Source organism: Homo sapiens, chromosome 13, assembly GCF_000001405.40.
Source record: "Homo sapiens chromosome 13, GRCh38.p14 Primary Assembly".
NCBI lineage: Eukaryota > Metazoa > Chordata > Mammalia > Primates > Hominidae > Homo > Homo sapiens.
In genome coordinates this window covers 67,774,821-67,801,114 of record NC_000013.11, presented here as the reverse complement: position 1 = coordinate 67,801,114, position 26,294 = coordinate 67,774,821, and the positions used below count along the sequence as shown (strand labels likewise).

The 26,294-nt window shown below is 33.4% G+C and overlaps 2 long non-coding RNA genes and 1 pseudogene across 3 annotated transcripts in view; 1 reads left to right on the top strand and 2 right to left on the bottom strand.

Annotated features, from left to right (window-relative positions):
- Positions 1 to 17,345, top strand: part of LOC105370251 (uncharacterized) — a 74,385-nt gene extending 57,040 nt beyond the window's left edge. The window contains exons 2-6 of one of the 2 annotated variants that reach the window (XR_942050.2): positions 1,065 to 1,140; positions 2,896 to 3,008; positions 12,604 to 12,806; positions 12,928 to 13,339; positions 17,092 to 17,345. This is a non-coding gene — a long non-coding RNA (uncharacterized LOC105370251). Of the gene's footprint in view, positions 1 to 1,064; positions 1,147 to 2,895; positions 3,009 to 12,603; positions 12,807 to 12,927; positions 13,340 to 17,091 lie in introns of both variants that reach the window. The other variant, XR_942049.3, reaches the window with a different exon arrangement.
- On the bottom strand, positions 8,921 to 21,838 carry LOC124903238 (uncharacterized). Its single transcript, XR_007063924.1, has 2 exons — positions 21,470 to 21,838; positions 8,921 to 10,708 (listed from the first exon to the last, which is right to left on the bottom strand). It is a non-coding gene; the product is annotated as an uncharacterized LOC124903238 (long non-coding RNA).
- BCRP9 (BCR pseudogene 9) lies at positions 10,321 to 10,708 on the bottom strand (annotated as a pseudogene).
- Positions 21,839 to 26,294: the final 4,456 nt, after the last annotated feature.

The following is a 26,294-nucleotide window of genomic DNA, read 5'->3' as shown; positions in this document are numbered from 1 at the left end:
TGGAGGCAGAAGAAAATAATGTCTATTGGTCACTTTTTAAAAAAAAAATCCATTATATAAACATCAAAGATATAATTTTGTTTTAACGTATTATTCATTGGATCAGAAGGTTCCTGCCCATTTTTTTAAGGTAATGGGTGCTATGACCATGGGAAAATTTAAACAAGGAAATTGTTTGCATGGTTAAATTGAGGCAGACCATTTTATCCTCTATTTTGGTTCACTAAATCTCTTAATACTATGGAAGTTACTTTGGTTACATTTTGTGAGATCCCCAGACATAACAGTGACTGGAGCTTCAGTTTTAAATAAGGCAATGAAAGTTTGCAATTTGGTAAACGTTAACAGATTTAAAATTAATTCAGAACCTGGGTTGTAGAGGAGGAAAAAACCAATGAGCACTCTTTCATCCTTTTTTAAAGTTTTATTGAGATACTGACATATAAAGACCTGCATACATTTAATGTATACAATTTGATGAATTTGAACATATAAACAAACCCATGAAATCATAACCACAATCAAGGTAATAAAAATATTCATAGCTTCCAAAAGTTTCCTTGTGCCACACTTTTTTTTTTGTAAGAACACAACATGAGATTTATCCTGAAGCTAGGAGACATTATACAGTGAAATAAGCCAGTCACAGAAGGATTATTACTGCATGACTCCACTTATTTGAGGTGTCTAAAATAGTCAAACCCACAGAAACACAAAGTAAGGGGTTGAGGGAGGGGGAAATGAGGAGTTGTTCAGTGAGTACAGTATAAAGTTTCAGTTAAATGAAATGGCAAGATCTAGAGGTCTGCTATACCACATAGTGTCTATTTTACCAATATTCTGTTGTGCCCCATTTTCTTTTTGCTACATAAATTATTTTAGCAAATTTTGGATAATCTATTGGGTAAAATTATGGATTTCTGCTAAGGTAGTTTTTTAACCTGAATTTTCATATTCAGTTTTCTTTACTTTTTTCTTTTTATTTTTGGCATTTACTAAATAGACTTTGGGGATTCTTCTCCACCTTCCTCATATTTACAGGGTTTTTTTTTTTTTTCTTCCAGAAAAACTCAACTAAGTATTATCAGGGCTTAGGACAACCCTATGACAATGGTCGACTTGCTCACCAGCAGTCACAAGGTAAAGGTGAGACTTATTTTCTTGAACCCAGCCTCAGTCATGGTTTATCCATGAACCAGCAGACCTGGTTCAATCTAAGACACAGATAGGTCTTGGGCAAGACACACAATGCTAGACCGCTTTAAGGAGGACCAAAACTCTATACAACTGTTGCTAAATGCCAATTTTTGAACTTTCAACTTATTTCAGTTAAAACAGAATCTAGACAAAACTTAGAAAATGCAGAATAAAGCAGCACAGCCCAAAAGACAAGATAGCTATCAAGCGGTAGCTCAGAAAGCATGTTTGCCATCAGGCAGCAGACCATTTAACAAGACAAACAAATAAGAAAGACTTTTTGTAAATAGTGGTGGTCATTGTCTATACATCTTGCTTGTAGCAACAATTATTGTGAACATTTCTCAAATATAGAATTCACTGCCACCCAAAATTTGGTTTGGATGTTGAGACTGATGATGCCATACACATAACAATAGATTATAAAAAGGTTCATTACTCACATGATGAGGCTTTCTAGGGAGAGAAGGTAGGCTCCCAAGCAGGCCAAAAAATGGCTTGAGAGAGAGGGATAAGGAAAATGCATTGAGGTTTTTTTTTTTTTTTTTTTTTGAGACGGAGTCTCGCTCTGTCGCCCAGGCCAGACTGCGGACTGCAGTGGCGCAATCTCGGCTCACTGCAAGCTCCGCTTCCCGGGTTCACGCCATTCTCCTGCCTCAGCCTCCCGAGTAGCTGGGACTACAGGCGCCCGCCACCGCGCCCGGCTAATTTTTTTTGTATTTTTAGTAGAGACGGGGTTTCACCTTGTTAGCCAGGATGGTCTCGATCTCCTGACCTCATGATCCACCCGCCTCGGCCTCCCAAAGTGCTGGGATTACAGGCGTGAGCCACCGCGCCCGGCCCGCATTGAGGTTTTTATGGTGGTTAGACGATGGGGCAGGAATGAGTATTTCCCAAAAGCAAGGATTTCGTTGTATGAAATTCTCCCTGATGTCAAAGAGAAAACATCTGCATTTTCTTATCAGTGTACCCAGATGTGGGGCAGAAGGGGAAGAAGGTGGGGTGAAGCCTAAATACTGTCAGCAGTAAAACATCCCAAAATGGCATTATACACTTTATGAATTCACCTATTCAATTCTCTTTCCCGCTCCCTTCCACCTGGCAATCAATGAAAAATTTACTGTCTGTAGAGTTTTGCCTCTTCCAAAACGGCATATTGTTAAAACGTTACAGTACGTAGACTTTTCAGATAGGCTTCCTTCACTTAGTAACATATAGTTAAGTTTCCTCCATGTCTTTTCATGGGCTGAGAGCTCATTTTTTTTTTTATTACTGAATAGTACACTTGTATGAATGCACTACACTTTATTTATTCATTCACCTATTGAATAATATCTTGGTTGCTTCCAATTTGGGGATATTATAAATAAAACTACTATAAACATATGTTTGCAAGTTTTTTTGTGGACATAAACTTGCAATTCAGTTGGGTAAAATCTAAGAGCATAATACTGCATCATTATGGTAAGATTATGTCTACTTTTTTAAGAAACTGACAAACTGTCTTCAACAGTGGCTGTAGGATTCTACATTCACGGGAACAATGAATGAGAGTAAGTAAACAGAGTATGTTCTCATCATTTACATTTCTATCTTGGTCACATAGAAAATTTGACTATTTGTTCCCAATATCTATATTTGTATATATGTCCTAATAGTATTTAAATGTGCATTGTTTTAAAATCTGAGTTTTTATAGGCATCTAAATAAGCCTTCCTCTTTGGGAGAAGACAAGTATTCATCAAGGATCCTTATCAACACTGAGGGGTGCAGAGACTTCACATCATTATCATAACAATACAACCTGAAAAGTAGGTGTGGTAATAAAATAGGAACTTATTGAGGTTTAATGTGTTATTTAAGGCCCTGTAGCTAATAAATGGCATTCAAACTTAAGGGTATACATCTTCAGAGTGGATACTTTTTTCACCTCATCCTATATCCTTTCTGTACTAATTAAGAGTCACTTTCTCATGGATTTGGAAAAGTGTTAAAGTGAAAGAAATAAATTGTAAGGATATTATAACTACACACCTAGGTAGAGTTGAAATAGGCCTTTACCATATTTATAACTTGACAACCACACTTGCAGCAAGTTTCTCTTCTTGGGATTTTTCTGAGCTACCTGGGAAAACTTTCCCTCCTTCACTCTTTATTTCACCCCACTTGACCAATAACAGGGGAATGTCCCTGTATGATACCCCCATTGCCTAAGCAGCTATTCAGCCTTTACTTTGGAGAAAAAGTTTGTTGCAAATGATGTAAAAACTTCTGCTACTTTTCCACAAAAAGAAAAATGTCATCAATGAGTAATTTAAGAGGCTTCACATGAAAACACAAACTAATGTTCATGAAATAAATGCAGTCAACAGAATATATTGTTTGTCCTTTAGCTTATCTTAAAGGTTTGAGCTGACGTAAAGAAATCAGTAGATTTCATATAGGAATACAGATATGTAGAAAAGTAAATCAGTCAAAATATCTTACATGTAAAACACAGATTACACATTCACAGATACTCTGCATATTGCTGTATCTATTTGTATTCATATTAATTAGTTTATGGTGGCATTAAGATAAAGAAATTTAGCCAAAGTCTCTTTATGTTTCAGTATGCTGTAGGAAATAGCCAAATATTAGAATCACTTTATTTTAACAGTGATATTTCACACTGAATGCTCCAGTGCCTTTTAATCATTGTCTACCAATATTCAAAATAGGTACCAATGCATGAAAACAGTTTCTCAATTATGTTCTTAATGCTCGTACTTAAACAGGCTAATTTAGTTCAGAAGCATGTCTATTTCACTTTTGAACATTTATTTTATATTGTGTGTACCTTCAGGGTTTATGATCACAAAAGCAAACCAAATCCTGTATACTGATAATTTGTGTGTTTTTATATAGTCATGTCTGTTAGTTGAAAACCTAGAAAATAACTTTTGATTATTGAATCATTGTCACAAACTAAAGAAGTTCATACCAAAAATCAATGGACTTCAAACTTTTATCTTTAATCCATAAAATTTCTTAAGCTACAACAGTAAAATATGCCTACTCATTTGCTTATTTTTCAAATTTTTTTACCCTATACTTTGAATGCTATGCTAAAGTATTTTTTACGTTATTAAAGATAATCAAAAATAGAAATTAAGGTGGATGAGATAAAAGTAATAGAACTTTTAAATATTTTCTATTATATAAGTTGCTTGTTTTCCAATCATAAAAATTTTATTGAATTTTAAAGCTTTGGATTAAGATGTGATTTATTATACTCCACATATCATTCTGTACATATATTCCAATTTATCTCCAAATGTATGTGGATTTTATAAATAAATAATGAAAATATGATTAAATATACTTTACTATTTTTTAAAGTTTGGGTATAAAACTTTACACTTCAGAGGTTTGTTTGGATAATTCTATTTGATGACTACCATACTTGAAAAACATATTTCAAAGATAATATATCCAAATGAAAGTACATGATTAGCTGTTCTTCCTGAATTGCGATGATCACATTCCAAATCAATCCACCCATTATGCCAAGGCTTTGGTTAAAGTTCAGCTTGTAAATTTTTATTCTCCCTAATGCCATTCAATTATTCTTTTAAACTAATTAAAATACAATGCTTTTTTGTTTTTACATTTAGAGTACACCATTCTTTGGAAGATTTTTAAATAAATGGAAAATCTTTTGTTGATAATTGTTAAATATGTGAATATCAGAGAGCCATTATAAGTGACACAAATATCATTGTAGAAAACAAAGTGAAATAGCAAAAAAAAAGTCTAAGCAACTCTATTCGAAGTTCTCTCTCTTCATAAAATGTATTTTTTCCTTAAAAATCTTGTTATTACGTTATTCATATTTTGAAATACTATCTAAATCTTATGAAGATAAAACATTTTAAAAACATTTATTGAGTAGCACAGTATAAATTTTCAGTACTTTTATCCTATAATTTTGCCAATGATACAGTCATGAAAATTTCAAGATTGTCAGGCTTTGCTATTTTTCGTGCTTATCTTCAAAGATGGTTTTATTGGAAAAGTTCTATAAATCTTTTGCCGATTTTATAAATTAGATTAATTACATGTTATATCTGTAAATTCTCAGAAACATAACAAGTCTAAAATTTTGAAAGCCAATGAATAAACGCCTCGACAATGTGAAAATTTTTCCCTTTTATGCTTACCGTAAGTGATATATCATATTCTATTGATAGGATATGAGAGGGTACCAATATAAATCTATGAGCAAAATGTTAGTAAATCTTAATATCCTCATGTTATTAAATGTATGTGTGTGTGTGTGTGTGAGAGAGAGAGATTTTGTTTTGGTATCACAATGTATAGTTTCCTGCTCTACCTTGGGGATACAAGAATCTAATTCGTAGTTTACTGCTCTAGGCTACTGAATAAAGGTACCACTTCAAAATCCCAAACCTAGAACATATTTCTGAGCTCTTAATAAAAATAACATAATTGTAAAACCCCTCAAGAATAATGAGTTTGCCTCACTGTTATATCTCCCATCATGCCTAATAATGTGCATTCCACATAGAGAATATTCTATTAAATACTGATTGAAAATTTAATCTAAAAAGGCTAAGGTATACTCCCAAACCATAGATTTTGAGTTTCTTGTATGCAGAACTCATACAATACAAATCGTCCAAGATAATTTTTTTGCTTTATTACTATTTGCTGATGGAAGCATTACTATATTTTTAGTATAAATCTACTTTTCCCAAGAGCAATTCCTTCAGCAGCTGACTTAGTAGATATTTAAATAATTCAAAATGGATCTGCTTCCTCAAAAGAGAAAAAAAATAAGTATAGCATAAAAAAACTAATCTTCAAATTTTGATATGGCTCTCCACTGCATCACAATCATCTTGACCTAGCGAAGCAAGGTGTGGTGATACAGACCAATGATTAACACATTTGACAATCTTTTCCAGGACATTTTTAATCACACTAAAGTTTATCAAGCACCATTTCACATGATTTCCAATCATAGCTAACTATATTATCAAGTTTGTACTTGGCAGAGCCAAAAAGGAACTTAACTCAAGCATTCTAACTTCAAGGTAGCATTCCTGCATCCCAATAATTTTGTTTTCTCTTACATAGAAAATTTCTGCTATCTCAACTTCCCTAACCTGGACCACTCCCTTTAAATTAAGCAGTCCACAAATTGCAGCTAATATAGTACATTGAATTAAGAATATTTTTAAGTGATTCAATGTGAAAAAATTAAGCCTCATCTAAAAATGTGTCTTATTTTCCTTGGATAAACATTCTCAAAATAGTCTCATATTGTGTACCAGACTTTTGCTATACAGTTGTAGTTTATTCTGTGTGTCAAATAAATTTTTCCTAATGATTTAACATTCTGTTCCAGGAGCCTAGTAGAATTTGCCTTAGTTCTTGACAAAATGACAATGCCCAGTGAAGTTCTAGGCTTCCTCTGATAAATAGTCTTTCTCTGAAGATAGCAAAGAATGCTGGAATCAGATATAAGACAGTGAAAGCAACAATAACGGAGCTGTCCTCTATCTGTCTATTCCAAACATACAATGCAATGCCTATATCAACTTACAGATTACCGTTACTCTTGGTCGCTCACCTCTGTCAGCTATCAACAAAACTGATTCTACTTGACCCTACATTCCTTAATGTCCTCTGCACATCCAAGTTCTTTGTTCCCCTGGAATGTAAACTTTCCTTTAAATTATTCTGTTGCCTTATGCCATATTATATTGTATTATATTGCATTGTACTATATTATTATTGGTGCTTCCAAATTACCAAAATGATAATAGACTCAGAAAAATTAATTTTTGTTAATGTTCCTGGAAGGAGGACAGGCCAGAACAGTTCCTGACAATTGATAATTGATTAATTTATGATAAAATATATAAATAAATAAGAGAACTGGCCTCTAATATTTCTTTACTGCTTCTCTGATAAAAGATAGGCATTTTAAACATAATGATTTGAATGTTTAGTGTCTGCCTTGGTAATTTGCCCTGTAAAAATATGACATCCTCTCTATAATGGTATTCTTTATACTGGGAGCACAGAGAACTCAACATTTTCGGCAATCTTTTTTCAGTGGTATGTAATTTTATATTCAATGTCCTTTAAGAGTCTAAACCAAAGAAGTGCCTTCTAAAATATGCTGAAGACAAACAAGTGTGTTATTTATGTGGGAAACTATGACCAGGCAATCAATTTTGATCAAGTTTTTAGTCTATACTTGAGAGAAACATTAACTAGAGAAAGAAATCTTAGTAGATGAATAAGGATTCACTTTATCTCCACATATAAATATTTTGGTACAATAGCACATGTGTCTCTATATCAATTAATTAATAGAGAGATAGATACGGATATATAAATATATAAAATAGAATTCTCAACTAGAAACTAAATTCAGAAATGCTCACTATATTCATCTATTTTAAGCAAAAAGAAAAATAAAGTTTCCTTATTAATTACATGCTCATTTATAAAGTAGTTCTATTTAATGAACAAAGTATTCTTTTATACTTTACCTATGTAGACTCAAACAGATTTAAGCTTTTTATAAGAAATGTTTCTTTAAACAAAGAAGACACATTTAGTTCACTGGAAAGTTCATAGGCATTTCAAATACTTTGGAATCTTAGTGAATACTTTCAAACTTCTATAGATTTTAATTTATACAAAATTGAAGAATTTTTAAATAATGAAGCACTTTTTTTACTTAGTAGGTTGCATCTATTAAATTTTGAGCAGAGTTTCTTTATTGAGTCTAATTGTAGTCAACCTACATCAGATAGCAATCAGAACTGTCAGGTATCTTTTATTTTTCTAGGAATTGAGGAAGATAGAAATGATATATGAGGTTGAAGAGATCAGGCATAATCTTTGTGCCCTGAAACCTCTACCCAATTGAACAGTTACAATGTGCTTTTGCCCATTTTATCTTAGGCAGTAATCCAAACCCAGATTTGAAAAAGTCAGTCTTGTCACCAACAATTTCTTCCATACATGACTTTAAACTTCTAAATTGACCCAGTTATACTTAATTCAATCATTCTGGCCCTTCACATCTCCATATACACTTATGCAGGGTATAATAATATTTTCTTAAATGTCATTCTGTGTATAGATATAACTTACATGATCTTGCTAAATGATTAAGTGCTGACAGGGTTTATAAAACAAGAACATACTTTTAACATAGAATCTTTTTACAACTGTTAAGATATTAAAATGTAGAGCAAGTTCAAAATCTAACTACTAATGTTTAAAAGGAAAGTTTGATACAGTATGCCACTTTTTCTCCTGTGTAAACATTTCTGTTAATTACATGGAGTTTAAAAAAGCTTTACTCCATCCTGGCAGTTCCCTAGAGCTAACAATTGTTGCTGAGCTTAGTGATTGTGGCAGAATGCCAATTACATTGTATGATGTGTGAAATATCTGCTACAACTGTCACAATGCAACAAAGGTCACAGAAAACATTTAAAAGCCAAAGGCTTAGAATTAGTTTTCTCATTGAATATGTAAATAACATTTTATGTCTCAAACTTATTTATATAACAATAAGAAAATATGTTCTCATATTAAATACCACCACAAATTATCATATTCCATTACTCCATCTTCACTACTATTTTATGGTCAATTAACAAAAGAATAGAGAACACACTAGACAGAGAAGTTGCTAGTATTATTTTTATTTACAGAATTTGTAAAATGAGTATAGCTTTCCCGTGTTCTTGGAAATGCATATATTAGTGTACATATAAGTAGTTATATGTATTGTACATTGTACAAGAGATTTAGCTAAAGAGTATTTGGTGATAAACATGGCTTAAGTAGGTTTAAGGAAGGAAGAGAGAAATTTCAGAGATAATTGGAAGATGTGTAATGTCATATGGCAATATGAATGAATCTCAGCAACATAATACCAAGTGAAAACAAAATCCCTAGACAAATGTCTATGTTATAATACTATTTAAGTTTAAAACAAATAATAAAATATTATGGATATGTGTTATGAATATATATCGTGGATGAAAAAAATTTAAAAAGGAAATTATTTTTAAACTAAGATTAGCAATTTCTTTTGGAGCTAAGGTGGAGGAAGAAAGTAATGGAATTGAGAGGCATGTACAGAAGACAATTTTATTGATAAAGTATTGTGGAGAGTTAAATAACTTGTTTTATGCAGAAAGTAAAAGAAGGGTCCCTGGAGAACCTCTGATGCACCCCACAAGTCTTACACCAGATATTTTTTTTTTTTTTTGGGGGATGGAGTCTCACCCTGTCGCCCAGGCTGGAGTTCTGTGGTGTGATCTAGGCTCACTGTAGTCTCCCTCTCCCGGGTTCAAGCAATTCTCTGGCCTCAGCTTCCCAAGTACGTGGAACTACAGGCACGTGCCACCATGCCTGGCTAATTTTTTGTATTTTTAATAGAGACAGGGTTTCACCATGTTAGCCAGTATGGTCTCGATCTCCTGACCTCATGATCCACTGGCCTCCTCCTCCCAAAGTTCTGGGATTACAGATGTGAGCCACCATGCCTAGCCTATACCAGATGCTTTATGCAGCTAAGGGAACTTGCACAAGAGGCTTGCCTAAACAGGCCTACAGTGGAAAATTTCATTCCTTAGCACATGAGCAGTAAGGGAAATAAATAAATATGGACAGGCTCAGACTAAGAGCCCGCATGTGCACTGGAAGGATGGGGTGGAGCTGCCAGGAATTTGCACCTTGTTACAAACAACGAACCCAGCCTCATCAGCTTATAAAAAAAATTCCCTGTATTCAACCGTGAAGGGGGTAACTGGCAACCTGCTTTCAGGACCACTCTCTCTGCTGAGAGCTTTCCTTTTGCTTAAAAAATTCTACTCCACTCACTCCAGTGTCCATGTGCCTAATTCTTCCGGGTCATGAGACAAAAACTTGGACCCAGCTGAGCTAAGGAGTAGAAAGATCACAATATATTTTATTTCTTATATTAAGTAATGTATATGCATGCATGTTGCATCTTCAATAGGCAATATATTTGTTGTTTATTTGAAATATTACCTTTCTCAAATTTTTAAGTATATATAATTGACAAAACACCAATAGAAATCTATCTCCAGGGTTCAGTACAGACATAAGCTCTGCTTTAGTCTGGTGGTGGAGTGGACTACAATATTCAGAAACCTGTAATACTCAGGAGATTCACCATCTTCTTTGTTGACAGTCATTAGAATGTTGTGAGCAGTCTGAAGTTTGACAGACATGTTGATCAACATCTGTAGCTCCACAAACATCAGAGAAAAGCTTTTGAAATACTTCTGCTGCTGCTTCCACAAGTTCTCCCTCTGTTAGACATATTCATAGTCAGAGGAAATCAGGAATGTGTAACTCTTGTCGTTGAGGTTATGTGCCCTGAGGAGCGACTCCTGCTTGGAGATATTCTTCTTTAGACTCTCAATGGCCTTGCTGCCATTGTCTATGTTCAAGAGAGAGAGGGAAAGCAAGATGTATTTGAAAAGGTTATAAATAGGTAGATATTTAAAAAGAGGTTATTAAAACGTACATATGCATAATTTAATTTATAACTGCAGTCATATGTTGCTTAATGATATGGGGGATAAGTTCTTTCTTTTCTTTCCTTTTTTTTTTTTTTTTTGAGACTGAGTCTGATTCTTGTTGCCCAGGCTGGAGTGCAATGGTGTGGTGCAATCTTGGCTCACTGCAACCTCCGCTTCCTGGGTTCAAGCAATTCTCATGCCTCAGCCTCCCAAGTAGCCGGGATTACAGACACCCACCACCACACCTGGCTAATTTTTGTATTTTTAGTAGAGACGGGGTGTCACCATGTTGGTCATGCTGGTCTCGAACTCCTGACCTCCAGTGATCCGTCTGCCTTTGCCTCCCAAAGTGCTGGGATTACAGGCATGAGCCAATGCGCCCAGCCATGATGGAGGATAAATTCTAAGAAATGTGTCAGTTAATTCTGTTCTTGTGTAAATATCATAGAGTGTACTTACACAAACCTAGATGTGATAGCCCACGACACACCTAGGCTATCTGTTCTAGCCTATTGCTTTGAGGCTACAAACCTGTACCATATGTTACTTTACTAAATACTGTAGGCAATTGTAATGCAATGGTATGTATTTGTGAATCTAAACATACAAAAGGTACAGCAAAAATACAATATAAAAGATAATAAATGGTGTACCTATATAAGGCATTTATCATGAATGAAGCTTTCCAGTTTGACAGTTGCTCTCCATGATTCAGTGAGTGAGTGGTGAGTTAATGTGAAGGCTTAGGACATTATTGTACATTACCATAGACTTTATAAGCACTGTACATTTAGGCTACAATAAATTTATAAGAATTTTTTTCAATAAGTTAACCTTAACTTACTGTAATTTCTCTATTTTATAAATTTTTATTTTTTTCTAACTTTTTGACTCTGTAATAACATGTAGCTGAAAAGGCAGACACATTGTACAGCTGTACAAAAATATTTTTCTTCTTTATATCATTATTCTATAAGGCTGTTTTATATTTAATTATATTTTTCCTTTTAAAGCTTTTTGTTAAAAATTAACACACAGACACACACATTAGCCTAGGCCTACACAAGCTCAGGTTCATCAGTGTCTCTGTCTCCTACTTTCACATCTTGTCCTACTGGAAGGTCTTTAAGGGCGGTAACATGCGTGGAGCTGTCACCTCTTATGATAACAATGCCTTCTTCCGGAAGACCTCCTGAAGGACTTGCCTGAGGCTGTTTTTTTCATAAATAGAAGAATTCCATTCTAAAATAATGATAAAAAGTATAGTATAATAAATACATAAATCAGTAACAGTCATTTATTATTATTATCAAGTATTCGGTACTGTGCATAATTATATGGGCTTATATTTCTATATGATTGGTATCCAAATATGTTTGTTTACACCAGCATCATCACGAATACATCGTGACGCATTTTTTAGGACATTATTGTGGTTACAATGTCACTAGGTGATAGGAATTTTTCAGCTCCATTAAAATTTTATGAGACTACTTTCATATATGTGGTCTGTCATTGACCAAAATGTTGTTATGCAGTGCATGACTGTATCAGAATTATTACAAGCATTCAAAATTAATTAATATCCAGGAGAAGAAAAAGTTAAAGAAATAAGCCAGATAAAAATTTATATATAGATTAAGAGTAGCTAAGGTTTATCAACTCTCAAATGTTTTCACTTAATAGTCATAATTAAATTTGTGGTAGTTATTTTAATTTCCATGTTTTAGATGCATAATTTGAATTCAGAGAAATTAAGCAATGTTCTCCTGTTCTGCCCTTCTGCATGTCTCTATGATTATCTACTGCACAGGTGTGATGGATCTAGCGGAGTGACTGTGGGCACATTGATTCCTGGATATGGAAACAGTTTAACTTTAATCTTGAGTAAATGAATGAGGAGAAATGGAGAAAAGACTTTTGGTTTTCCAGTAAGATTTTGGTGACTTATTTTTAAGGAATGATTTTTATATAAAATTGGGGCTAAAGTTGGACCTGAGAAAAGTAAGGTAACAGGTAAAAATCACGAGTTTATTTTCTTCTCCTTAAATTTAGCCTTGTGTTTTGCATGTTTTCTGTTTCAAACAATCTTGAGCAGAGATAAACTAACAATTTTTTGTATTCTATCTCTCCACAGAATGGCTAACTTGTTTAACTTTGGAAAAACTGAAATGACTAATTAGAATGTTTCCAATCTATGTGATATATATTTGAAAGAGCTACATGCCATTGGATGTTTTTGTAGCTGCTAACAAAAAAGGGTTCCCTCACAGATGAATGAACGGACTTCTTCATGGAGACTGTTTAGACACTACTTTAGAAAAGGCATTTTTTTTGGTGTTGCTACTAGGAAATTGTGTGTGTGTGTGTGTGTGTGTGTGTGTGTGTGTGTGTGTGTGTTTTCAGTGTCTCTAGCAGCTGAAAGTATGCAAGAGCTAAAATGCAGCTACAGCTGGAGCTAACTCCCATTCATTCATCATTGTCACTTCACGAATTAGGAGCCAGCAGACCATTTCTCTCACTTTACTTCAGCTCCTTTTCAGAACGAGGTAAGGTTCATAATGCTCAGATACGATAGTTCTTTCTTCTAGCCTATTATTTAGAGAGCTATTAATTTTGTTCTGTGTCACTCTACAAACTCTTGAGCTTTTCAAAAGGAAACTAAATTCTGACTGGTGTTCATATATAAATATGTGCATGTATGTGAACAGCACGTATAGTGATAGCATTTGCTTAACATTTTAATATCATCATATGGTTGTGGCATTTTTACGGGGTATGTTCTAAATTCTCTCAAACTTTCAAACAGCTTGCCTTTTCTCTCAGTCAAATAATCATCATCTATGTAAAGTTCCTTTTTGCGTGTGAAAAGCTTCACACTTTCCACATTCCAAAGCTTTTATTAAGACATTGATAGTAGTGGATTGAATGATTATGTATGTCTACTGAATTGCCAATAGGATAATTAGTCACAGCATCATAGAAGGGAAGTTTTCTCTTAAAATAAATTGTATTAGATCAATTTATTCTCTTTCAAGAGTTACAAGCATTAACCTTTGGAATGACCATTACCCTTTAATTGGCACTCTTATACTGTCTAATGTATCATTAGCCTTTGTACGTTGTGTCATTAAAGGTGGCAATCATAATATTCAGTAAATTATAACACTGTAACAAGTTGGGATCATCTTTTTAGCTCCCCAAAAGCCACTAATTAATTATGGGAATATGTCAAAAGATAAAACGAAGCTTTGTTGCAAGCCAATATTTTTCATCTGTTTAACCTATCACAAATAGAGTTATAGACCCATGCAATTGATAAAGACACAAAACATAATTATAACTTAACTTTGACAAGATTTCTAAAGAACTTTGTGTAACAAAACCATGACAGAAATGGTCTCTTATGAAATATACATCATGACTTGCAAATCTTTGGAATTTTTAAATACAAAATCCATGATAAGGATATAAAATTAAATAGAGAGGTTTCCTAGAGTAGTCAACACATAAAAAAATCAACTTTTCCAATGTGAACAGAGTAAAATCAATGTGGCCAAATTGTTCCATTAAAATGTATAGTGATACATAGATACATACACTAGCATTTTAAATTTGAAAAATAGATCATTATAACCCTAGTGTACTGATGGTTATAATACAAAATTCATTTGTAAACGCTTTAACACGAAGAAGTGCAGAACTTAATATTATTTTGCAGGTAAATTTTTACACACAGTTAAACAGAGGGATTCACATGCCTAGTGTAGAATTTGATGTCTATATAATATATACAATTTGGTTTAAACATTTATAGTGTTTAATATAAATATTTAAAAACAATTCTTATATAGTATTTTAAAAATGTAATAACTTTGTCTTAATATCATGTTTTGCTCTCTGACCTAAGTTATACACTCAGAACAAATGCAACATTTTCTGAAATAAGTTTGCTATGGGTTTCATTCTATTGACATTGAAGGAAACCTAGTAAAGCAACTCATTCTGAAATGCCTTCCTCCTCTACTCACTCTTGTAGAAATTATATATATATATATATATATATATATATATATATATATATATATATATATGTGTGGTGTGTGTATATATATATATATATATATATATGTTTTTTTTTTTTTTGAGACAGAGTCTCGCTCTGTTGCCCAGGCTGGAGTGCAGTGGCATGATCTCAGCTTACTGCAAGCTCTGCCTCCCAGGTTCACACCATTCTCCTGCCTCAGTCTCTCGAGTAGCTGGGACTACAGGCGCCTGCCACCATGCCTGGCCCGGCTAATTTTTGTGTTTTTAGTAGAGATGGGGTTTCACTGTGTTAGCCAGGATGGTCTCGATCTCCTGATCTCATGATCCACCCACCTCAGCCTCCCAAAGTGCTGGGATTACAGGCGTGAGCCACTGCGCCCGGCCGAAATTATGTATTTTTACACAAAGGAAAAACCTTAAGTCATCACTACTGATTTCAATCTGTGATTAACTTTGCAGTCTTTGCAGACTTCTCTAATACTCAGAAAAAGAACAGATTCTTCTTTCCTATCAGAGTTTTTCAAAATAAAATAACTCTCTTGGACCTGGCTTTCTCAAATTAGTGGATAAACTGAAAATAATTCCATCAAAGATTATTGTTGTTTTATTTAGTAGTACACATAATTGATAAAAATACTGTGACACCAAATTCTAATAAGAAACATTTTATGGAATCTAGTTTATTTAGTAGATAAAATATATCTTCCGAAGACATTATATCGAAAAAAATGTATAGACAAAGCTCCGTGAAAAGTTACTTAACTATTAGGGACTAAAGCATTCAGGATTTTTTTTTTTTTTACTCCAAATTGCAAATGCATTAACATGTTTGTGATAAAATATATCCACATTTAAAATTGCAGAGTCTTTTAGAACAGAAGTATTTTAGAGATATCTGTAGCCTCCTACTACTGTAAACATGAGGAAACTGACACCAAAAGATCTTCAAGCCTCTTCCAATTTTATGTAGATAGGCTATTGTAGAAAAAGCAGTAAGTCTCAGTCATCTGGTATTTGGACTATTGCTCTTTTTGCCTATTTGTCCTGTCTCTCTACTTACACATTCGAACCTTCTTGTCTCCTTTTCATCAAGGATTATCTGTTAAATGCATGCTTATCACTCAGTAAATACTGATAATCACTTTATTAGTTCCATTTATTTGTGCAAGAAGCCACTATTGGCTCTACTACATAAAGAGCTAAATGAGATGATACAAAGTAAATGAACATGAGTGGGATATGGAAGGAATTGAATTTTGTAAACAAAAAAATGAGGCTTTTTAGAGATAGCTGTACTTCAAAATAAAATATGTAAGATCATAATAGAAGACAAACAAAATTTAGAAACATTCAAAGGAATAAAGTAATATGTCTACATGACCTATCATCAAAATTTTAATCAGGAATCAGGTCACTAACATTGAGCTTTGGATATTCATAGAATTCAGAATGAACAGAAAAAGATATAGATAGATATAGATATAGATATAGATATAGATATAGATATAGATATAGATATAGATATAGATATAGAGAGAGTCTCGATCTGTCACCAAGTCTGGAGTGCAATGTTGTAATCTTGGCTCACTGCAACCTCCGCCTCTCAGGTTCAAGTGATTCTCTTGCCTCAGCCTCCTGAGTAGCTGGGATTACAGACAAACACCATCATGCCTGGCTAATTTTCTGTATTTTTAGTGGAGATGGGGTTTCCCCATGTTGGCCAAGCTGGTCTTGAACTCCTGACCTTGTGATCTGCCCACCTCGGCCTCCCAAAGTGCTAGGATTACAGGTTCAAGCCACCGTGCTCAGCATAATAATTTTTAAAAACAAAATTGTTATTTTAATAAAGAAAAGCAAGCTTTTCAGCACCAAGAAAAGTTTTAAGCACATGCTGATTTATTTATAGTATTTAACTCATTGATCAAAATATAAAAAATCTATACATTATTTACTTTAAAAGGGGAACTATTCATACGTATTGTCTGATCCTTCTCAGAACTATGGCAAAAGCGTACAATTAAATTGTATTTATTCTAGTTATCTGACACTGGATACAATACAATGTAATCTCTGCTCTAAAGTTACTTATGCCACTTTGGAAAGCTTACAATTTATACACACACACACACATATGGGTGGGTGATGGTGAGTGTGTGCACGGGCATAAGTGTGTGTATGCATGTTAGTATGTGTGTGTGTAACACATTACACATACACAAATATTAAAATTTATTTTGATCTCCATTTTTTAAAGAACATCTCTAACTCATGTCTGAGCTGCAGAGGTTTGATGAAGAACCACATTGTTCTTGTCATCTACAAAAGAGAAAGCAATTTAGATACTCTTCAATTTTTTTATGGTTAAGTATTTGTGCTGAGTTTTGTGTTTGCTGAGAGGATGATGCCATGAGAACACAGAGTACATGCAGCAGTAAACTGGTTGAAAAAGATCTCACTTCCATCTTGGGAAAATAAATTGCACCAGTAACCAGCAATATGCAACAAAAGTGTGAAAATAGCATATTGTATTCTACTAACTTAGAACTTTTACCAAATAATAATTAGAAATTTTATCAAATAATAATTGTAGATAAGAAAAATAAATTCTATGTTAAAATATTAGCATTTTTTTTACAATTGGTATTTTAGAAAACAATCTAAATGGATAATATAGAACAAAATTAAAATACTATAGGGGTTCTTTCTAAAGAATATTTTTTAAATGACCATATAAAATTTTTGTTCAATTGGAGACAATTTTAATGAGGATAATTTCAAGAGAGCCTATGCAACAGGTATAAACCGGAACTGACAGGCAAACTAAAACATAAGGTCACCTTAAATATTATGCACCTTTAAATATGAGGCTAAAATAATTTATTGGCTGGAAGTATTTGTATTATAAAATTAACTTCAAAATTACTAGGTCTAGAATAATCACAAATATATAAATTAAAACTGATTTGCTTGGTTGGAGTAGATATATCTTTATGGTAAGACATTCATTTTACATTTTTATAGAGAATATATATTGTTTTTATAATATAGTACACATTGTAAACATTGTAGCCTTATTTCAAATCTGGCAAGAATTGCCGTAGTAGAAAAGTAGTGTGACTTGTTCAAAATTCTCATAGAGATAAACTCAATAGATCAGCTGTACGGGAAAGAGAAATTGTAGATAGAATGTATGTGCTATTTTTCCCAGTTCATTTCCAAATATTTAACAGCTTAGAACATTATACCACTAACTTTAAGTCACATTCCAGGGAATCCATTATAGAAAGCTGACATTTGTTCTGCAAGTGACCTACAAAGTAGATAGAATGGCCAGTTGTGGTGGCTCACATCTGTAATCCAAGCATTCTGGAAGGCTGAGGCGGGCAGGTGACTTGAGGCCAGGAGTTGGAGGCCAGCTTGGGCAATGTGGTGAAACCCCGTCTCTACTAAAAATACAAAAATTAGCCGGGCGTGGTGGTGGGCACCTGTAGTCTCAGCTACTCAGGAAGCTGAGGCATGAGAATTGCTTGAACCCTGGAGGCCAAGGTTGCAGTGAGCCAAGATCGCACCAGTGCATTCTAGCCTGGGCAACAGAGCAAGACTCGGTCTCAAAACAAAAACAAAAACAAAAAACAAAAATTCAAAGTAGATAGAATGGATTATAATGGTATTCTGAGGGATTATAAGATTCCAGAGAATGTCTGGAAAGTATATTACTTTTTAGTCCAATTTGGGAATATAGTTTCATTATTTTAACATGCTGTTCAATTAAGTGTCTGTCTTTTAATGATAACTCACTAGTAATTACATATTACAAATGATGAGTTGATTTGGGGGGGGAAGTCACATTTTCTTAGACTACAGCCTATATAAGTAAATATGGAGGTTTTAGCTAATTCAATTATACACAATTTTTCCTGCCCTGAAGAAACTCGCCAGTAAAAGGGAGGATATAGCAAATCTCTAGAAATGAGAAGGGAAATATGCTTCCTAATTTTAAATGTATGTAGTTATAAATCTTCATCCATTTAGAATTCTTCACTTATCACATTAGGACAAACAGAAAAATTATTAAAATGTATTTGAAAGCACAGGACTTTTTAATAACAATACACAATGCTCTAATAGTTATGTGTTAACTCATACTTAAGATGACCACAATGAGACGCTGGGAGAGTGGCAGGCCTGCATTTGTGTCTTTTATAATCAACCAGTAAACATTAAGTAAAATGTTTCTAGCAAACTTGAGGTAGTTGAGAACCTACAGATTTGTAGCCAAGTTGAACAGAAATGTGTGTAAGCTGGGGGCCTGATACTTTAGACTGGCCTCTGGAGTGAGGACAGTCTTATGGAACTGAGCCTTTAAACCTGTGGAGTCTGACTCTAACTCTAGGTAGTTAGTATCAGAATTGAATTAAATTATTGAAGACACAGTTGGTATCTAGAGAATAGGAAAATTGGCTGATGGTAGGGAAAACACCCCAGAAAATTTTCACTTAGAACAGAATTCTCAAACTGAATGGTCACCAATCACCTGAGAGACAAACAGATATAAATTACTTGGACCTGTCCCTAGAGGTATTAATTCAGTAGGCCTAGGTGAAAACATACATTTTTAACAATCTCCTAATCTTCACCTTGAAATGACTGTGATAATGATAATCCTCCAGTCATTCATTAATCTAAGGGAACAGGAACAGAATTCTAAATCAACCTTACAAGAGTAGAGTCAGAAAGAAAAAAGAGAATGAAGATGATTAATGGCAAATGTAAAGTCATCCTATTGAAGACAATACTATAGGCAGGGGTATCCAATCCCTATGTCGTGGGCCAGTCCGTGGCCTGTTAGGAACTGGACTGCAAGGCAGGTGGAGAGAAATGCTTGTGCTAACATTACCACCTGAGCTCCATCTCTGTCAGATCAGTGGCAGCATTAAATTCTCATGGGAGCAAGAACCCTATCGTGAACTACACGTGTGAAGGATCTACACTGCACCCTCCTTATGATGATCTGAGGTGGAATGGTTTCATCCTGAAACTATCCTTCTCATCCGTAAAAAAAGTCTCCTCCATGAAACTGGTCTCTGGTCTCCAAAAAGATTGGGGACCACTGCTGTAGAGAAGGGTTGGCATTGCGTAAGTATTCAAGAAAAATGCCAGAAAGCCATAATCGATAAACTGTGAATTAGCCAAAATGGGGATAAATATTAGAGACAATTTAAGCAATGGTCTCCCCAAAAGAAAAACCTGAGGCTTATTTAACCATAAGAACAGATTAGCTAATTCACTGTATATAAACGTCACCAAGATTTTCAGAAGTAGGATTTTAAGAAAACAAGGAGGTTACAATTACCTACTTTTTGATTCTTTGAAGTGATAATTAACTGGAATCTGACATGCCCCCAAAGCTTACTTTAGGAACTTCTCCCTGCTATAGTAAGTAAACATGTGAGGAGAAATTATTACAAAATTTCCAGAAAGAAAAAAGAATATAACCGGCAGTTACTGAATGCCTGCTACTTTGGATATTGCAATAGATGGTTTTCATTCACCTTATTCCTTTCTGTAATCTTATGCGGTAGGTAGTGTAATCCCCTTTTGAAAATGAGTACATTGAGTCAAGGAGAGATTTTATATATATATATATAATATGTATAATATACATATATTGCTAAACAGTCTAAGAGTTGCAGATTAAGTATATTTTCCAACATAAACACCCAGTAAGAGTCCTCAGAAAAGTCCATGTTTTTCCAATTCAAAGTTCATATCCTTTTAACTCAATTACATTCATAGAAGTTTTCTTGTTAGAATTCACAATATAGATTAGATTTTGTATTCTTATTTAATAAACTCCTCTCTATATTTTAGTAAATATGTGCTAAATAAATAAAACTTACACTTATCTGTTATATATGTAATATTCATATCTCCCAAAGCCATTAAATAATTTCTTTAAGATAATTCTACTAAAAATTAAATATATATTGAAAGAGAAAAGAATTCTCTCAGCATAAAACTGGTCCTAGCACCTGCAACCTCTTTCATTCTACTTACTGTAAGGCATGTTGTATATATTATATAATTCATATAATTGTATATGCTCTATAATCTTGCCATTTGACCTGAGCTATTTTACAACTTTACTCCAAATTTGTCATCATGTTGCTTGATTAAAAGAAAATAACCAATAAACTGGATATATCCCTCACCTGCTAACTTCTTTTATATAATCCAATAGCACAGATCATGCTATCAAAAAGAAAATGCAGCTGATTTTTCACACATGTTCTATCCTTTTTTTCCTTAGCCTGTAAACTATGGCACTTGTTTCTTAGTAATAAATTCACACGCTTCTCTTGAATTTCTTTTCCTCTGCAACAGTCCAATGAGTCTTTATCTATTGCTCCAGACAGCCATCTTCTCAAATCACCTAGAGATGTGAATGATAACCCTATCACCTACTAGACAGAAACATCAAAATTCCGGCCAACATTCACTAAGATAGCTTTTTCTTATCTGAAGCTATCCATCTATAATGTGTAAGGACAGAGCCTGCTTTCAGTAATGCAGCTGGTTATAGCACCAAAGAATAGCACAAGTTTCCTTCCAGATGATGTAGAGTAACTCACCTTCATCAAAATGAACCAGAACAGGATGCTTGACCCCTGAAGGACAATTGGAAAAGTCTGTGTTGAGTATAAATTGCACAGAAAATATGGAGTAAAATAACTAATTGAAATATATTTTGAACCCAAATCTCTAAATAGGTATGATTTGACATCAATAAACAGTTTAACTAGTTTGTAATTGTAATGTTTAATAATGCAAGTAATTTTGCAGTTTTCATTACCTAATCAAAAGCAATAGCAATAATTGTGTGGAATTATGGAATAAATTAAATATGTTTGAGTGAAGCTGCAATTTTAGTGCCATGAAATCATTAAATTAAAAGCATTAAAAACTGTCTCATGCTATTTCTGTCAGATAACGTACCTTTCAAAAATGAATTTTTCTTTTTGACATTTCTTTTTTACATAGGATTATGTAAGCAGTTATGAGATCTCTATGATATAAATTAATCCTGAATAAGCCATCACAATGCAAAACTTACTTTGACAATTAAGACAAAAGAGATTATTCTAACAATTGCTTATATTATTTAATATAAAATGATTAATCTCAGTGAAATAGGGAAAAGCTATATACATATATGTGTATATCCTGTTCTAGTCAATATAACAATGCATTAACCTTGATAATAAAGTGATTTATTATTTTTAACTTAAATATTAATCATATTTTTTCACAGAGTTTTTTGCATTTGTAGAGTTCATTTTTCCTATGACTCATTCACTTCCTTGAGATTTCCTTCTACCTCATATGAAGCAGATCTCGTCAGATTTTGTGAAAGCCTGAGGTTAGCAAAATCATTTTGCTTGAGGTAAATTTAAAACTTGAGTCTCTAGGAGTAGAAGACAAATGCACCACTCCTGTTCCCAGGGTCTTTAAATCTTAATGAGTTGTGCACCAGAAATGGACTTATCCTTCACTGTCCTCCCTCCATTTTACAGCTCTTGTTAAGTGGTTAGGGCATTTGCAGTTAAAGGACACTGAACTACTCTAGATACATTACTCTCCCCCACCCTTTTAGAGTAAGGTGTGGGGTTTTGTGTAACTTACATAGACTTAAGGTATTAAAGGTATTAAAAGGGCTTTATTAAGTGGTGTCTGGGCAATTGAAGGTGCATCAAAGTGACATCTCCTAATTGCCTGTGGTATATTTTCATAAACTGCAGGGTCACATGTCAATCACAGGATAAAGGTAAGGCATATAGAAATGTTTGGATTAATTATTAATACCAATTGGCTATTAGAGCTCTTTAGTTTCTTGCTGTGGCAAAGCACATCGGTGAAAGTGCTGGATAGGAAGTAATTTGTTTGCATGCAGATAACTCTGGATTGTAATAAATCTTAACAAGTTCTAATTCTCACTTGACCTTCTGCAACTTCCCTTTGTGGCGCCAGTCACTGTGGGGATATTAGGATGCCTTAATCACCTTGGATCACATGTGAAGGATCTGAATCCTGTGCAAATGAAACATGTAGAAATACAGAAGCAGCACTGACTATAGCTTACATTCCTTATCCACTGACATTTTCCTCAAGTTTTGCATATTGTGTGATTATTATTTTAAAATTGTGCTTGTCAAAAGATAAAGTAATTTTGATGCTGTTCTTACCTGAGAAAGATCAAACACTATGATTTTTTCCTTTCTCAAACATTTGCCTCTCTCACATACACAGATATTTAAAATAAATGCACAGTGAACATTTTCTTGTCAAAAACAAAATAGCAACAACAACAAAAAGGAAACCTAGGCTTTTGAATTATTTGCATCATTATTTACCCATGATTATTACAAATCAAGAAAAACTGATCAGTGAAGAAATGAACAGCATTACAGAGAAAATACTACACAGATACTAATCTGTAGACTTTAGTTTGAGCTCCATTTTTGGTATATTTTCATTGATATATACTAATCATATATATTTTGGGGGTACATTGATATTTTGATATATGCATAGAATGTGTACTGATCAAATCAGGGTAATTGTAATATCCACTATCTCAAAAATTTTTCTTTTCTTTGTATTGGGAACATTACAATTCTTCCAACTATTTTGAAATACAAAATAAATGATTATTTACAGAAATCACTGTATTTCCCTACTGTACTATCAAATACTAGAATAAACTCTTTGTATCTAACTTTATTTTTGTATCCCTTAATCAACTTATGTTCATGCCCACCATTCCCCATTTCCTGTCTAGCCTCTGGTAACCACCATTCTACTCTATCTCCATGAAATCTACCTTTGTAGCTCCCATAGATGAGTAAGAACATGCAATATTTGTTTTTCTATTTCTGGCCAATTTCACTTAATCTAATGACCTCCAGTACCATCCATATTGCTGCAAATGACAAAATTTCATTCTTTTTATGGCTGAGTAATATTCCACTGTGTATATATAGCACATTTTTGTATTCATTCATCTGTTGATGAACACTTAGGTTGATTCCATACCTTGGCTGTTGCAAAAAGTGCCACAATAAACATGGAAGTGCAGATATATCTTCCATATACTGATTTCCTTTCTTTTGAATATATACCCAGCTGCGGGATTGCCAGATGAGCTCCATTCTCAATGCCTACTATTTTTATGTCTTTTGTGTGTTCAAATTCTCAATTTCCTCTTCTAAGTTCCCTATCTGTAAAATGGCAACACTTCTCCCCCCTTCAGTCAAAACCGCTAAGTAAATCATAAAGCCTATAGCTATATTAATCTATTGAAAAAAAGTATTTCTCAGGAAGTCTTATTTAACATTAATAAATTATGGCATAAACTATTCAAAAGTCATTAATAGTAAATCCATGCTTAGGCAGAAGTCTCAAGATATCATTAGCATTTAATGTTTTTATTTTAATAACTTAGTAAATTGGTGAGTTTCACTAACAACCAATGAGGATGGCATTTAATAGAAAAAAATTCTGGTGGTTGGCTTTCAGAGACATGTTTGTTGTATTTATGTTATTTAATTTATTTTACAAATATATCAGACATAAAACCTGAGGAAAGTTCTCTTCTTGTTCATCATTTATTACCCTCCTCTTTAGGGGAAAGTTTCATGTTGAATATATCTAATAATATGAGACATTTAACATCTAATAATTAAACTTTTTCTTTTTAGCATCTAAGGAAGTTGATAGATGTTTTCAAATACGTTTGTTCCCCTGGGAAAATTATTTCCTGTATTCTGGGTCTTCTCATCTTCTTTAAACAATGCAGAAGGACATTATCTCCTTGGCAGAGATCTGGAAGCTAGCATTTATTTTCAGCTCTAATGGTCTCATCTGAATCTGCATCCCAGGAGTTTTAGCTAAGAGAGACCCCATGCTGTGATTCACGCTGTTTAATGCCAAGTTGATGGGTAATAAAGTTATCATAATCCATAATTTAATTATAGATGAAAGACCCTATTCTGTGATTGTAACACTGAAACTCCGGCTTCATTTACACTTCTGGGATGCTTCACAAATTATTTGGGCTGATCTTTGATACAGGGTCAAGGGTGGAAAAAATTTTCATATAATTGCATTCTATCTTACTTGAAAGAAACATTCCACGTCCAAATTGGGTTTATTTTTGAGTTGTCATATGTCTGTAGTTTCAACGGTAAGTATAAATTTTAATAAGAATTTTTCGAGATGTTTCCTTGTTGCTACAGATATTTGTGTTGAACTTCTCATCCCATTTAAATGTAAAAATTGCTTCTTTTCTTGTTACTGTCCCAAACCTCAAAAACAGGACCAAAAATACTCTTTCCCTGAAATTAGAAAAAAAAAATGCACCATTGGAAATTGTTTTATTTTCCCCGGATTGTACTGTGCTCATGCAAATTTCATGTCAATTCATGAATTTGCTAAGGCTGTTCACTTAGCCGGGCATAGTACCTTCCTCTTTTCCTATTTTCAATTGGTGTCCAATTCTATCCCTCTTCTTCATGAATTTTTTTCCAGCAAGAAAATGTACTAGATGCTAAATTCATGGGCAGCCTGTAATGGTTGTCACTAAGGCATTCAACAAAAATTTCTAAATCTAAGTTATCTCAGTGATGGCAACTGAGCCTCTTTCAAAAAAATGTGATGATTAAGCAAAACAACACACAGATCTAGCAACCTCTCTGAAGGACATAATCAAAATGCTATAAAATATCTGAACAAAAAAAGAAACAGCTGCACTTTGTTTTTAATTCTTTATATGTGTGTGTGATATGTGTATAGAGAATGACTGTAATATATACATTTATTATATAATTTATTATGTAAGAAAAATGCTATATACTACAGGTCCTTTGTACTCTTACTTTCAGAATTAAAAAGATTAGCTTTAGTAGAAAATCCTTGGACACTGCAATGATATTTAGAAAGGAAAACCAATTGATTATGGGAAGGAAGAGACTAAAGCAAATATAATTTTATTTCCAATATTCTAAAGACTATGATAAGTCCTGTAATCGAATGAAAGAGCTAGGATCTTTTGTGATCTCATGCATCAATGCTGAAGAAATGATCACAAAATTTATGAAAGTTGGAGGTAAACATCTTTAGATTAGACTTCACTAAGCAATGATTTATAAATCTACAAGGTAGGTCCATCATGATGTGGGAAAATATTTACACAAAAAAGTTATGTATTCCCAACCACATTATTTTTATAGAAAAAAAGGCACTTTATATTAATAAAAATAAATAGGAAGAAATAAAATGATTCAGTAAGCCCAAGGCCAAAATTGTAACTGTTTTCTATGTTATTGAAATGTAAATATTACTTATATTACCTCATTAGTTAATCCAAATTAGATGAATCATAGACCTATACTCTATACA